This window comes from Homo sapiens, chromosome 7 (genome assembly GCF_000001405.40).
Source record: "Homo sapiens chromosome 7, GRCh38.p14 Primary Assembly".
Classification (NCBI taxonomy): Eukaryota; Metazoa; Chordata; class Mammalia; order Primates; family Hominidae; genus Homo; species Homo sapiens.
The window spans coordinates 155,160,705-155,174,690 of NC_000007.14; the positions used below are offsets into that span (position 1 = coordinate 155,160,705).

The 13,986-nt window shown below is 48.8% G+C and overlaps 1 long non-coding RNA gene across 2 annotated transcripts, besides 2 other annotated features; it reads left to right on the plus strand.

The window, feature by feature from the left end:
- Window positions 6,973-7,474: an enhancer, noted in NCBI's record as "H3K4me1 hESC enhancer chr7:154959387-154959888 (GRCh37/hg19 assembly coordinates)". NCBI's record gives its function as "activates a minimal SCP1, AML or CMV promoter by ChIP-STARR-seq in naive H9 embryonic stem cells {active_cell/tissue: H9 hESC(naive)}" and the evidence as "EXISTENCE:reporter gene assay evidence [ECO:0000049][PMID:30033119]".
- Window positions 7,475-7,974: an enhancer, noted in NCBI's record as "H3K4me1 hESC enhancer chr7:154959889-154960388 (GRCh37/hg19 assembly coordinates)". NCBI's record gives its function as "activates a minimal SCP1, AML or CMV promoter by ChIP-STARR-seq in naive H9 embryonic stem cells {active_cell/tissue: H9 hESC(naive)}" and the evidence as "EXISTENCE:reporter gene assay evidence [ECO:0000049][PMID:30033119]".
- LOC105375584 (uncharacterized) lies at window positions 8,632-12,615 on the plus strand. 2 transcript variants are annotated; one of them, XR_928222.1, is made up of 3 exons: window positions 8,632-8,661; window positions 9,586-9,687; window positions 11,996-12,615. It is a non-coding gene; the product is annotated as an uncharacterized LOC105375584 (long non-coding RNA). The 2 variants fall into 2 exon arrangements; XR_928221.1 differs by lacking the exon at window positions 8,632-8,661 and adding an exon at window positions 8,675-8,901.
- Window positions 12,616-13,986: the final 1,371 nt, after the last annotated feature.

Sequence of the window (13,986 nt, forward strand, 5' to 3'; positions counted from 1 at the left end):
TTAATTTTCACCATCTGAATTACTAGACTTTCTATCATTTTCCTTGCATTAATTCACAATTTGTCTAGGATAACCCAGGGTCCCCTTCCTTTTATTCTACCAACTTTTGTCCCTCAATACAGGATACCTGGAGCAAGATTTTACTTCTGTTTGGTTTCTGCTGGAAAACCTAGTTTGGAACTGAAGAACTTCAGTCTTAAAACATCAGCTGTTTGCCTGACCTGTTAAGGAGACTATTCTCACCTTTAACTTATCTTGGAAATCTCCCGCCTTTGTTGGGTTCTTTTATTGAGTTCATCTATCTAACCTATTCCTAACTCCCCCTCCCTTGGCTCCCAGGCCACAGAATCTCAGAGTTGGAAGCAGCCATAAGAGCCACATTCTCCAGACTCTCAGCCCAAGCAGCCATCCCCATTGTGTGCCCATGGACTTAGTCAACCAGCATTGGTGCAAATGACCAAGATCTCAAAGTTAAGATTAGTCAAAAATGGCTTTCTAGCCATTCTCTATGCATGGAACTCCAGTCTGCTTGTGTCTCTAGGCACCCTCTTCCTTGTGGACTTAGGATCTCCCATTTTAATGAGACTTCTTATATAAATAACATTTCTAAAGTATCAGTGAAGCTTTCAACCACTAGGTTATCATAGATATGTCCTATCTTCCCTCAAAGTGGCTGTCTCTAGTCCATTGTAATAATTTGTAATAAATAAATGTAATGGGATCATCTATTGGATAGAAGAACTTTCTATTGTGGAGATGAATTATTAATGCAGAAATCCACAAGCTTCTAAAACCTAGCACTGGCTTGGGCAAAGGTATTGTCTCTATGTGAACACCTTTAAAAATAGAAAAGAAATCAGTCAGTGCCTCTCAAATTGATTAATGTATACTAATACCCATTCCTCCAGAATTTATGATAGTGACTCTGTTATATGGGAAAAGTATTACTATCCCATAAGATACTGAAATGAACACCTACATTTATATCAAACACACTTGAAATAAACTGCTCAGTAGCACATCAGGGCTGCACAGGTCAATGCTGCCTGCGGTGAGGTTAGACCAGCTTCCCTCCCAATGGTGGAACACATCACAGATGTCAAGGGAGAGGCAGGAACTCAGGGGAAGAAGACCTGATCCAGACAGCTCCCATGTGCTACAGACTTTTTCATCACATCCCGCACAACTCATGTCCTTGTCTCATCTTTATGACCTATGATGACACCTGGGCCATATCCCACAAACACAAAACACTCCTGACTCAGAAGCTGACGGCCAGTGTTTACTCAAGTGGCAAGAAAGGCTTTGTGTTGAAAAATCGCAGAAGGAAGCCATCTCCTTGGAGGCTCATGCATCGCCTTAACAAGAAGAGTGTTGTTCATATACATTTTCTTGATCAGCCCAGGATCCTCTAATGTTTTTTGAATGTCTAACATGTACCAGTTCAAAGGAAAAACTTCTAGCTTCAGAGAGAAAGATCAGAAAGAATTCAGAAGTTTTCTCTGAAAACAGGATTCTCAGTGTCCTCACCTTTTCAATGTCATACAACTTCAGACACACAGACACATGCACATATGCACACACAGATACACACACACACACACACACATCTTTGCTCAGAAAAATCGAACTCAGTTTATTTGAGATCCATCTACTTTGCTTGAACTACTAATGACTAATGCAAGGAACTCAGAATAGGCAGACAGTACCTCTAGCAAAGCCCTCTTGTAATGAAAGGGCAGCATTCTAAGACATACATGAAACAACACAGTCTAACTATCTAGTCATTCTCTGTATGAAGAACACTGACCACATGTTAAAACTGTTCCTATCCATTCCTGTTCTTCTTGGTTATTCAAATAACTTTGGCTTTAAGACTTTTTTTAAGTGACTTAACAACTTATTAGCTTATTTTCCTGAGGCTAACATGCTGAGCTTGCAAATACAATTTTAAAAGGAGCAATAATTGAATGATTGAATAGAATATTCCCTTCTGTTTTATATGGATTGCAAAGTTTTTGGTATTGAATAGTAGATTCAATAGTAAAAATTAAAAATTCAATATTCAAAAATTATATTTGAATATTCAAAACTATCAAATAGTTTTTAATAGTTTTGAATATTCAAATATAATTTTCTTCTGTGAATTAACTATATAAAGTGTTTTCTCTTTTCCAAAATAATGACCTGGTATTCCATATTCGCTTCCCTTCTGTGATGATTTCTGCAGAAGATGACAGATAATGGCCAAATTCTTACCAATGCTGGGGAGGAAGATATGACCCATGGACTGGTCTACCATTAGCTGTCATTGTGGGTTTTTAAAAAATTAACTAGAGATGAGGTCTTGCTATGTTGCCGAAGCTAGTCTAGAACTCCTGGCTGAAGCAATCTTCCCGCCTTGGTCTTCCAAAGCACTGAGATTACAGGCGGGAGGCACTTCCCCAGCCATTATCACTGTGGTTTTATTTTGCACTTTTATAAAGGTCCATCTTTGAGTTCTTTGCTTTACAGAACCTCTAGTCAGTGGGTTTTTTCCCCTCTTTAAAATAATACAGCTCTCTATTGTATCAACTGAAAGTTTCTTCAGCTCTAAAACTATGATTCTGTCACTAAAATGTATTTTTCTGTCCACATACTGACTTACTCAATCTCAAGTTACAAACTGTTTAATTTAACAGTTGTCAACAGGTGTATCAGCTCAGCCCTGTGACTGGTTCTGTAAAAGATTGTGCCCAAGTTAAACATGGGACTCAGCTCCTGTTAGTGAATTCGAGAACCTGGCAAACTCTTTCTCACTGAAGAACTGTGCAGTATTGAGCACTGTTTTAATCCGTGTAAATCTTCCTTCCTCGGGGCTTTTGGCATAATTGAACACCTGCACAAGGATTGTCAGTCAAGTCATGGGATGTGTAGGATGTACCATGTTTTTATTTACATGTTCCTATTTCCACTTGTGTGATCCTGAGCATAGAGAAATTCTAATCCGGCAGACTCTGGAGGAGGGAAGGAGGGCAGGAATGTTTACTGTGGAGCTGCTGTGAAGGCAGCATTGCACGTCTGTTGTTTCCACTAATTTCATCCTCATCACAGTGCTGTGAGCCAGCTTCTCCTTGTTTGTGTAGGAGGAAGCTGAGGTTCACAGAAGTCAAATAATGGGCCCAAGGTCACCCAGCTAGTAAGTAGCACAGCCAGAATGCAAACATAGGCCCACATCCCTGGCGCACGCCTTCCACCTCCACCAGAGCCAGGAGCCGTGAGTGAGGCCAGGTGCAGAGATTGGCACCTGCTCTCAGCGTCTGATACGAAGGAGAAGTTGACAGATCATATCCCTCCCTAGCGCCTCCTTCAATGATGGGTCTCCAATCCCCAGTTACCTCTATGTTAACACAATTCCAAAAATGTGACAATTCCAAGAAGGAAGTTCCAGTTCATCTTTAGAATGACTTCCTCATCTGTAAAGTGATAATCATACAGCAATATGATGATGCAAATCATGATAACCTGGCTGGTGTCTCTCTGAAGCTCTTGGGGGTGCCGGGCATTGTCCTGGCCAGGTTACCTCCAAGCCTTATAACAATAAAGACAAGGAAACAAAGACTCAGAGGTGTACAAGACCCCATGGCGAGTAAATGACAAAGCCGGGTGTATGAGTTACCTACTGCTGTGCAAGCCACCCCAACCTGTGAGGGAGAGAACAGCGGACGTGTTAGCTCTCAGCATTCGCCACCCAAGAATCTGGAGTAGCTTGGCGGGTGGTCCTGGCTCAGGGTCTCTCATGAGGCTCCTGACTCCTGGTTCAGGGTCAGCTCATTCAACTGGCTGAGGCTGAGGGCAAGTCTCAAATAATCGGCTTCTAACTTCCCTCTCCAAGGGGATGCCTCACTGCCTGGCCGCTGTCTTCCCTACCATACCTGGCAAGGAAGGATGGGCACAGGAGAGTGGCCTAGAGGCCAGCCCTGCCCAATACTGGATCTGGCATCCACCATCTATGCCTTATTTTCTTCATTAGAAGCTAGTAAGCAAGTCTGAGTCACACTCCAGGGAGGTGGTGTTACACCAGGTGTGCGTTCCAGGGTACAGGGGTGATTGGAGCTCCCAAGGCTCCCGTCATACCCGGCAACTGTAATTCTGTGATAAAAGGTTCCAGTCATTCCCAAAAAGCACCCTCCCCGCAGATGAGACGGAAAGTTTCATGTGTCAAATCTCTTGCAAAGTTATTGACTTACTTTTTTTCTTTAAAGATACTGACTTTTTCATCAAGAAACTGAATTTTAGATAAGTGAGGATATAAGTGCAGAGCCCTCTGGGGCTAAACGTTGCCTGAAAAGTTTTGAAAAATAGATGAGCCCCAGGAATGTGGAACACCTTTGGTCTCACTCTAACATAGCCCTAGAAAAACTGCAAACTGGTTCTGTCATGTCGGAATTGCTAGACAGTCAATGGTTTGCACCCTTCCATTTGAAAAAAGTGGCCAATGTAGACGCTTTGCGGCAGCATCAGTTCTGACCAAACCATCATCTGAGCAAATGCGCATTTTCTTCAGGCTCAGCCTTCCCGCTGGTGTCCACCAAAGGAAAATCCGCCCTGGCCAGTGAGTCCTTGTGTCAGGAGCTCTGGGGCCTGTGTTTCCCTTTGCCTAAAAGTAGGGGCTGGCAGCACGGAAGGCCTCCTCATGAGCTTTCTGGAGTGTTTTCTGAGCGCAGAGGAAATAAGCGAGGCAAAGGTTTGGCTAAGGGTTCACACCTGTCCTCTTCTAATCTCTCACCCACTTTCATCATTGTGTATGTAGTCGCCATCGTCTTCCAAAGTTGCTATAATAGGGGTCCTGTTTCATTCTTTTTATTTTGACTACGTTATCTAACAATTCTTTATACTTGTCTCAAAATACTCATTTTTTGGTGGGGGTGATACAGGAGGGGGGCAGGGAAGTGCTGGGTTGTGAAAGGCAGGGGTCCTGGTGAGGGCTCCACCTTCAGGCCTATGCCCACGGACCTAGGTGAAGACAGGCACTCCTGTTTTCACACCCAAATGTTGCATTTCCCAAGACTACCCTGGCCTGCCACACCACCCCCCCCCATCCTGTGCCTATAAAAACCCTGAGACCCTCGCGGGCACACACACAGTGGCTGGAGTCGAGGGGGAATCACCGGCAGAAGAACACACACACACACACACACACGCCGACGGGCCATCGATGGTGGAACAACACGGACACTGAGGGAACTTTGGCTGGGGGCAGTCGGAGGAGAGCCTGGCCTCTGAGTGGCCTGATTCCAGGGAAAGACCACCTTCCCACTCCATCCCCCTTCTGGCTCCCCAGGCATCTGCTGAGAGCTATCTCCACCATTCGGTAAAACCTTACACTCATTCTCCAAGCCCACGTGTGATCCAATTTTTCCAGTACACTAAGGAAAGAACCAGGGATACAGAAAGCCTCTGTCCTTGCGATAAGCCAGAGGGTCTAACTGAGCTGATTAACACAAGACACTTGCAGATGGCTAAGCTGAAAGTCAGACTGTGACACGCCCACTGGGGCTTAGGGAGCTGTAAACACTCAACCCTAGATGCTGCCCTGAGGTCGGAGCCCAGGCTCCCCACGACCTGCCCGTCTGCATGCTTCCCCTAGGGGTTTGAGCTGCGGGCACCGAAGACGGGAGCCATACACCTGTCACACGCCCTGCGAGGGGAATATGGGAACTTATCCAGTTTCAGGAGGAGGGAATGACTAGCTACCAAACAACCAAAGCCAATTTTCCTGTGAAAGGGACGCTGGGGCATCTGATTACTTTTGTTGCTATAAAGGCCTTGGAGGCTGGGCACAGTGTGGTGTGCTTATAGCCTGCACAACGTGGCAGGATCCTGTCTCTCTAAAAACAAGAGGGGGTGCTTTGGTGAGGATGGAAAATTCTGAATAGCTCTGCCTTGATGTCTTCTGCTGTCATTACAGCAAAAGTGGTCTGGGGTGTCACTCAAACAGAAAACTGTCTTGTTTGGGACTTGAGAAGATTTTTGGTGCCTTCACCACCAGAAAATGAGGAAGAAGGAGCAAATAAGGGAGGAACGCCAGGCACTGAGGGCCGAGGGCCTTCACGGCCTGCACTGTTCTGCCGAGCAGGGCTGTGCGCAGCTGAGTTGAGTCACGCTGCCTGCGTCCTGGGCTGTGCGCAGCTGAGTTGAATCACGCTGCCCGCGTCCTGGGCTGTTTACAGCTGAGTTGAGTCACGCTGCCTGCATCCTGCACGCGGCCCTGTGCTCTGCATGTTTGAGGTAGGCTGCTTTCTCCACACGCATGGACATCTTTCCTATGGGGTGAAGGCTAGGCTTACAAGCCCTGTCTTTTGGATGTGGACATGGATCCCTTGCACATGTGCCTTCCGTGGCATGAAGACTGTCAGCACCTGGCAGGACTGGAGCGACTAGTGAAACACCAGACACCAGCCCCTCAGCCAAGGTCTCGCCCAGCACCTCCTTCCGAACCCTGCCCTGCCCCGGAGGCTGCTGGCTCCAGTGCAGGCCTGACTGTCACGGGCACCTACAGCATAACCCTGCCAGTGACCTCGCAGCAGCTGCAGCACCAAGCTCTCCAGGCAGCGCCCTGGCGCAGGTGAAGCAGCCCAGGCCCGCGCTGCAAGGGAGCCACACTCCAGCCGGCGCATTGGCAGAGAGAGTGCTCTCCCAGGAGAGGATGAAGCGCTGCGTGGGCTCAGGGTTTCAAAAAGCCCACCCCAGGTTCACTCCCCCGAACCTTGCCCTGAAGAGCTCCCCAGACTCGGCGGTGCCAGATTCCCAGGGATAGATTTTGTTACTCAGTGCTAAGCTTCTGGACTCTTTATTTTTTCTTTTACAGTGGTCTACAGATATCCCCATAACATCCCTTTCTTATTAATTAATTCAAATAAAGATAAATAATAAACTGTGTGGCTCAGTGTGGTTAAATGTGTATGGCATTTAGAGGTTTTGATGTTGTCGTAGACAAATGCCGCTTCTCTCCCAAATTGTTTCCACCTCCACTCCAGGCCTTTCTTCACCCCATCTCCTCCCAGCCCCAGACCCACTCCTTGCCTGAGCTCCAGGGTCGATCGCCCTGTAGAGCAAGTCTGCCCGGGATGAAGCTGACACACGAGGCTCATGGCTCAGCCCGCGTGTCCTCACCTGCTGATGCAGCCCCAGGTGGCCTCCCCAGGGGTGCGAGCCACACATTAGCGTGAGTTCGTTTTGTATCAGCTGCAACCTAAAGAGTTTCAACCCATGACTCAGAAGGAAAATGCTCCGATAGACCACACAACCCAAACTTGTAGGAGACTTGCATCTGGATGTCATTGTCATTGGTATAGATGAAAGGACACGGCCCTGCCATTGAGAGTGGCCTCACATCCCCCTGTAGGCTCCCGGGATGTCCTGAGCTGCACTTCCTACTTCACCCTGTCCAAGGCTGGCCCGTCGTCCCCCAGCATCCAGGCTCACGAAGGACGGCGGTCCCCTGCCCCCTAGGAGGGAGTCAGCTCCTTGCAGCCACTGGAAGCCCACCCAGCGGCTCACCTGGACTCAGCCCCAGCCCCCAGCCCACATCTCAGCTGGGATTTCCCCTTCCTGCTTCCGAGGCTAGGAGGACCCTGGAAAGGACTCTCACCCTCCTGCTGCTGCATGTTCTGTGTCTGCTTTCCTCTTTCCAAGCCTTCCGTGGTCCCTGCCCCCTTGAAGGGCATATTCCAGTGAGCAAAATGGACATTAAATAGCCAACATTCTCTTTCTAAAGCACCAGCTGGCCCAGCAATACTCCCCGCCCCCGGCCCCCAACCCCGAGGTGGCCACTGCAGGTGTTTTCGTCACGTCCCAATGAGGAGAATTTTAACCAGGACATCAGATGGCTCCCAGTGGTCTTAGCCACTGTCTGGTTTTCTCTCTTCCTGCGCCCACGCTGATCTGGACTGACCTCCTCACTTGCCTGCCCCAAATCAGAAATGACTGCCCTGCTGGGCAGGGAGCTGTGATTTTCATTTTCTTGGGCAGTGACAGATGATGTTGCAGTTTCTGAGAAAATTAAGTCATCAACTCCTGGACGCCCCTGACATCATCAAAATGTCTGGGCTGGAGAGCCACAGGCCCTCAATTTATTATTGGAAATAATGGGGAAAAGACAAGCAATTACGTGTTGACATCGGGCTCTGCTGCTGTGAAGGGGTGGAGAGCTGTAATTCCTGCCCTTGGGTCGTATCAAGATTTGGAACCAGGTCCAATCTGAAATAACATAAACTAAAAGAATTGATTAGACCAGGTGTCATTTGGGGTGCATCTCTCTGAACTGCCCCTAAATCCCTGCAGGTTATAATCTAATGCACAGTGACTGCATCCATTTCCAGGGGCCTTGCAGGGTGGCGTGGAGCAGGTGATGGATGCCCCAAGCCTTGTCTGGACTTGCCCTCCCCAGCGAGACGCCTCTTGTTTCCCTGTCCTTTCTGCACTGCACATCATGAGGCCACCATCACCAGCACAGGTAGAAGCCCTCAATAATGAAGGCAGCTGATCACAGCCAGAGGTGCCCTTTAAACACCCAGAGGCATGTCACAGAGGAGGTGAAGGCTGAGTCTGTGAGGCGACAGGAGAGGTGGAGTTGCTGGGTGCCAGCTCCGGAGACCTGGGCAAGGCCAGTAGTGCCAGGTAACACAGACACCAGCAGCATCCAGGGCTGAGGTTCTGGGGGTCCGCCAGGGACTGGGACTGCTTCGGCTCAAAGGCAGCCAGGCAGGGGCCGGGAAAAAGGAGCAAGTGGTGCCCTGGGTTACTACAGACTTTGCCCACATGTCTGCAGGGGCAGGGACCCAGTGCACACCTCCCGGATGTCCAGGAGCAGACACAGAGTTCAGTGGATGGGCTCCTCCGACACCCTGAGCTGCTCAGGTGAAGGGAGGGTTTGTGTGCAGGTGAAGCAGGCCCCCGCCAACCTGACGCTTTGCCTCGAGTGTTTGCCTTCCCTCTCAAGGCTGTCTCAGGGCACTCTGTGTGCTCTGTGTGTGGGGCCTGGTCTGGCATCCAGGCACCCAGGACACCAGATCACATGGGGGACACGAGGAATCACATGGGGCTCTCTCCACAGATCCTCCATGTTCTCCTCCTTGCCCGGCTCCAGCAACCTCTGTCAGTCAGGGGCTGTTGCCCCTCCACCCATAAGAACCCCAGGACACACCTAGACGTCTCTGGGTCCCTACCCAGACTTTCCTGTTTACTTACTTATTTACGAGATACTGAACCCAATGTGTTGCCAGTCCCCATCCGTGGTCCTCGGGACGCAGTGGTGAGGAGGACAGGCTCCTTGCCCTGGTGGGACTTCCATCGGGTCCTGGGGAGTCAGACAAACAAGACAACAAAAAATGCAAACGTCAGTTACTTAGAGTGACTTAAAAGTAAAGTGAAAGTGGTGGGGAGTGAGAGAATTGCATGTTACTGTAGAGTACGTGATAGGAGACGTTCACTTTGTATTGATTTTAGGGGCAAAGAACTTCTATTTATGTGCATATTGTGTTTATTGCATATATGCCAATTTATAAGACATAGATATCTATGTGTTTCTGTTTGTTTAAGCAGGAAATAATAAACACAAGAAATGGCGAGTCACTCCCAGAAAAAGGTAAATAAATGCCAAGGAGAGGAGACGGATCAGCCCTGGCCGTCACATGAAATAACCAGGTAAGAGAAGATCCTTGAGGTGCCCCAAGTGGTGACTTCACCAAGTGTCCCAAAGAGGAAAGCCAGCGTCGCTTCCAAGGTGACAGCATTAGATATCCCTGGTAGCCATTACATAATATGTAAATTTCCCCTAAATGCTGAGATAGCAAAACAACAGCGCAGTGGTCAAGTCACGTCAGATACTTTTTTAAAAAGAGAAAAATTGAGCAATGCGTTCTTGAAAAAAACACCAAGTCTCAAAAATTAATACATAAATAAAGTGAAACTTTAAAAGATTCAAGACAGGCTAGGCACAGTGGCTCACACCTGTAATCCCAGCCCTTTTGGAGGCCAAGGCGGGTGGATCATGAGGTCAGGAGATCGAGACCATCCTGGCTAACACGGTGAAACCCCGTCTCCGCTAAAAATACAAAAAATTAGCCGGGCATGGTGGCGGGCACCTGTAGTCCCAGCTACTTGGGAGGCTGAGGCAGGAGAATGGTGTGAACCCAGGAGGCGGAGCTTGCAGTGAGCCGAGATCACACCACTGCTCTCCAGAGCCTGGGCAACAGAGCGGGACTCCATCTCAAAAAAAAAAAAAAAAGAAAGAAAAGAAAAAAAGAAAAAGAAAAAAAGGAGAGAGAGAAAAAGGATTCAAGACATAGCAAGCAACATTTGAGTATAGGCAAGAAGTCAGCCAGCTGACTGAGCAACCAGGTCCCACCTGGCCCCAGCCTAGAACTCACACACCAACAACTCAGCTAACAAAGGCAGCTTTCCTGAAATTCTGTTCGTGTTCTGTAGAATTTGGAAAGAGTCATAAAATCATGGGATGTGTAAAAATAGAACCTGATAGAACTCCTAAAATCCCAGGAGGGCCTCAGTAATTGGATCTCCAGGTCAAGGTAAGAAGGAATAAGGACAAAGAAACAAAATGCTTACATTTTTGCCATCACTTTTGCTGTGGGATGCAAGTGTGTTTCGCAAGCATTTTCCTGTAATGTGGGCTTTGTCGGACACCACACAAACTTGGAGCCTGGGGGAGCCCTGAGCAGCTTTAGCAAGCTTGTCCTCCCATAAAGGGTCAGAAAGAAAGTGTTTATGGTTTTGCACAACTCCTCGGCGGTCATCACTATTCAGTTGTGCTGTGGTGGTGCGATAGCACATGCTCAAGTGGTGTGATTCCGTTCCAATAAGACTTCACAACAAACAGAGGAAGGCACCAAACAGAAGGGAAGGGCTCCAGGGAGGGGACATGGCCGCCTGTCTGCAGATAGGCCGGGTCAAGCCTGGGTGGACCTTCACAGCAGTGGTCACAGGAGTGACGTTGGCTGCTGCAGGTGGGAGAGGGTAGTGTGGCCAAGTCCAGCCCTTAGGCTTGTAAGGGACCACAGAGGGTCCTGGGAGGGACAACTGACATGTTGGGAAATTGTACCTGGGAACTGGAAATCCAGTCTCTGTGATTCTCTGGCAGTCTGGGCACTGTCACACAAGAGCACTGGTGAGCAGATGTTCTTTACTGGGCACCGGCGCCCTTCAGGAGTGTCCCAGAGAAACCGCAGAAACCCACAAGGATGCCCACAACCAAAAGACGATTCAACACTCACCTTTACAGAGGGGGAAGTGAGTTCACACTGCCACTCTCTGCACCCCGTTTTCCTTATGTGCCACAGAGAATAAACCAAACTCACTCTGTCTACTCCCCCGCCTGAGGTTGGAAGTTAGATCAAGAGGTTCCACCCCTGAGCCCACACTTGTCCTGCGAAGATCTCGATACCTCTCTCACGGCCAGTGCCTCTGCCTCCTGTGCAGACATGTGGGCCCAGCCACAACACAGACTGACTCCACTCCTCCTAGGACACCAGACTGCACTGAGACGGTTGCTACCTCCTTCCTGCCTTCCTCTACTTGAGTCCCAGAGACCTTGGCTGCCCTCCCTGCTCTCCCAATAGAGCTCCTTCCTCTCTGTTAAGCTTGGCTCCTGGTCTCCCCTCCACTGGCCTCTTAACCAAACACAACACTCAGCAGTAGCTCAGCCCTGCCCTGAGCCTGGCTGGAAATGTGAGGGGAGAAGAAGCCAGTGCATTCGGGGCCCTATAGAGACATCAAGGCTGACAACCAGAAATTCCTGTTGAGGTGGGCACAGAAATTTACACTTACGGTCAAGGATAGGTCAGTCCAGGGTACCCTTACTGAGACGAGTCCTGTTGAAAGAATCAGATGTTGAAGGAAATAGAGAATGTAGAAAGATAAAATAACTTCTAGACAATAGTTTCACACAAAATCAGTGTATCTTTGTACTGACTTTTCAAATTATTTTCCCACCCAGGACAGCACAGAAGAAAGAGCACGCATTTTTGAGGCAGACAGACCTGATTTAAAATCTAGATTTGGCCACCAACTTGCTGTGTAGCCTTTAGACAAGTTTCTTAAACCTCCACACATCTGCTTCCCCTGGCTCAGTGAAATGAGAGTATCAATGGTATTTGCTTCATGCCTGTTTTGAGATCCGCAAGGTCTCATCCCTGAGAAGCAAGCACCAAGAGTGTTCTGGTGAACGCGTTGTCATCACCGCTGCAGCCACCAGCTCTCAAGCCAGCCCTGGATCTCCTTGTCCCGGGAACTGCTCCCCCTCTGAATCTGAGCAGCGGCTTCCGAGGCTCTGACCCCTCTCTCTGCTGCCTGCCTGCTGGCCCTAGGGCCTCAAGCCGCGATTCCTCAACCCTGCTGAGACCAGCAAGCCATTGATCCACACTGCCTTCTCACTCGCCATCAACCAGCTCATGTCTCAAGATTCTTATTAATTTGAATGAAATTTCCAGTATTCAACCATTTTGATCTACACAATGGCTATTTGATAAGGCTCAAACCAATCATAAAAATACAGCAATTTGTCGTAGTGGCTCACGCCTGGAATCCCAGCACTTTGGGAGGCCGAAGCAGGTGGATCATGAGGTCAGGAGATCGAGACCATCCTGGCTAACACGGTGAAACTCTGTCTCCGCTAAAAATACAAAAAATTAGCCGGGCATGGTGGCGGGCACCTGTAGTCCCAGCTACTCGGGAGGCTGAGGCAGGAGAATGGCGTGAACGTGGAAGGCAGAGCTTGCAGTGAGCCAAGATCGCGCCATTGCACTCCAGCCTGGGTGACAGAGTGAGACTCTATCTCAAAAAAAAAAAAAAAAAAAAAAAAAAACAGCAATTTTTCCGAGTAAGTGCATCCCAGACTCTTGGATTCCCAGCTCGAGAGTCCCAGAAGGTGCACTTTGAAGGCATGAAAGGTGCAGGCATGATGAAGTTGTCGTCTTAGCACCTGCAGCTGCCGGGTCTGCACAGCAGGAAGAAGGCAGGCCAGCCCTTGCAGGTGGGGCCAATCTCCTCCTAGACTGATGAGAACTTAACAAAGGTTTTCTGTGTCTTGGCGACCCCAGACACATCAACATAGAGTAAAGAGAGGGCTGGACTAAAGGTTTGTGAGCCTGGGTTCCTAATCCTAATTCTGTCACAATCCTAATTAGCCCCATGATTCTAGAGGCCTCTAAACTGATATTGTCTCTGTTTTCCTTTTTTGGAACGTTGTGTTTTGCCAACCGCACACTGCCAGTCCATGGCGCTTTCTCCACCACACCTTTCTGGGAACCTCCATGCCCCATCCCCCAGAGTGCCAGGTGTCCCCTCTGCTTTGCTTCTGTGATTTGTGAAAACCGACTTCTTAGCACCCCTTCCCGAGAAGAAAACGAACCTGCGCAGGAGGTGACGTCACCATCTGGCCCAAGCTGCTGGAGCCAGCAGATGGAAAAATGAAAAATAGAACCAAACTCCAGGGAGGCAGTGGGGGGGAGATGCTGACCCTCCTGGGGCCCAGGGCCTTCAAATTGTTAATCAGCAGGTTGGAGACAGCCTGGTTCCCATCCTAGATCTACCGCTTACTCTCTGGGTGACCTTGAGCAAGTTACCTAACCTCTCTAAGACTCAGCTCTTTGCCTATAAAATATTATCATAACAATTCGTTCTTCAAGAGAAAAAAATGAGGAAAAAGTACACAGGAAGCAGTTGGCACAGTGGCCGTGTCTACCACAAGGGGTTGGCATATATGGTGATTGTGGTGGGTGTGCAATGCCCAGTGGATCTCACCACCAAAGTGGACTCCTCTGGTTAAAATAATTGAGTTACCAGAAGCTGTGTGTGAAGTGCATATATGGAAAATTCAGCCATTCTCAAAGCTGCTTCACCTTCTCACATGAGCAGATGCTCCCTGCATCGCCCCCCAAGCTCCTTCCTGAGCTCATGCTGATTTGTCCACTCCAATCAGTGACCCCT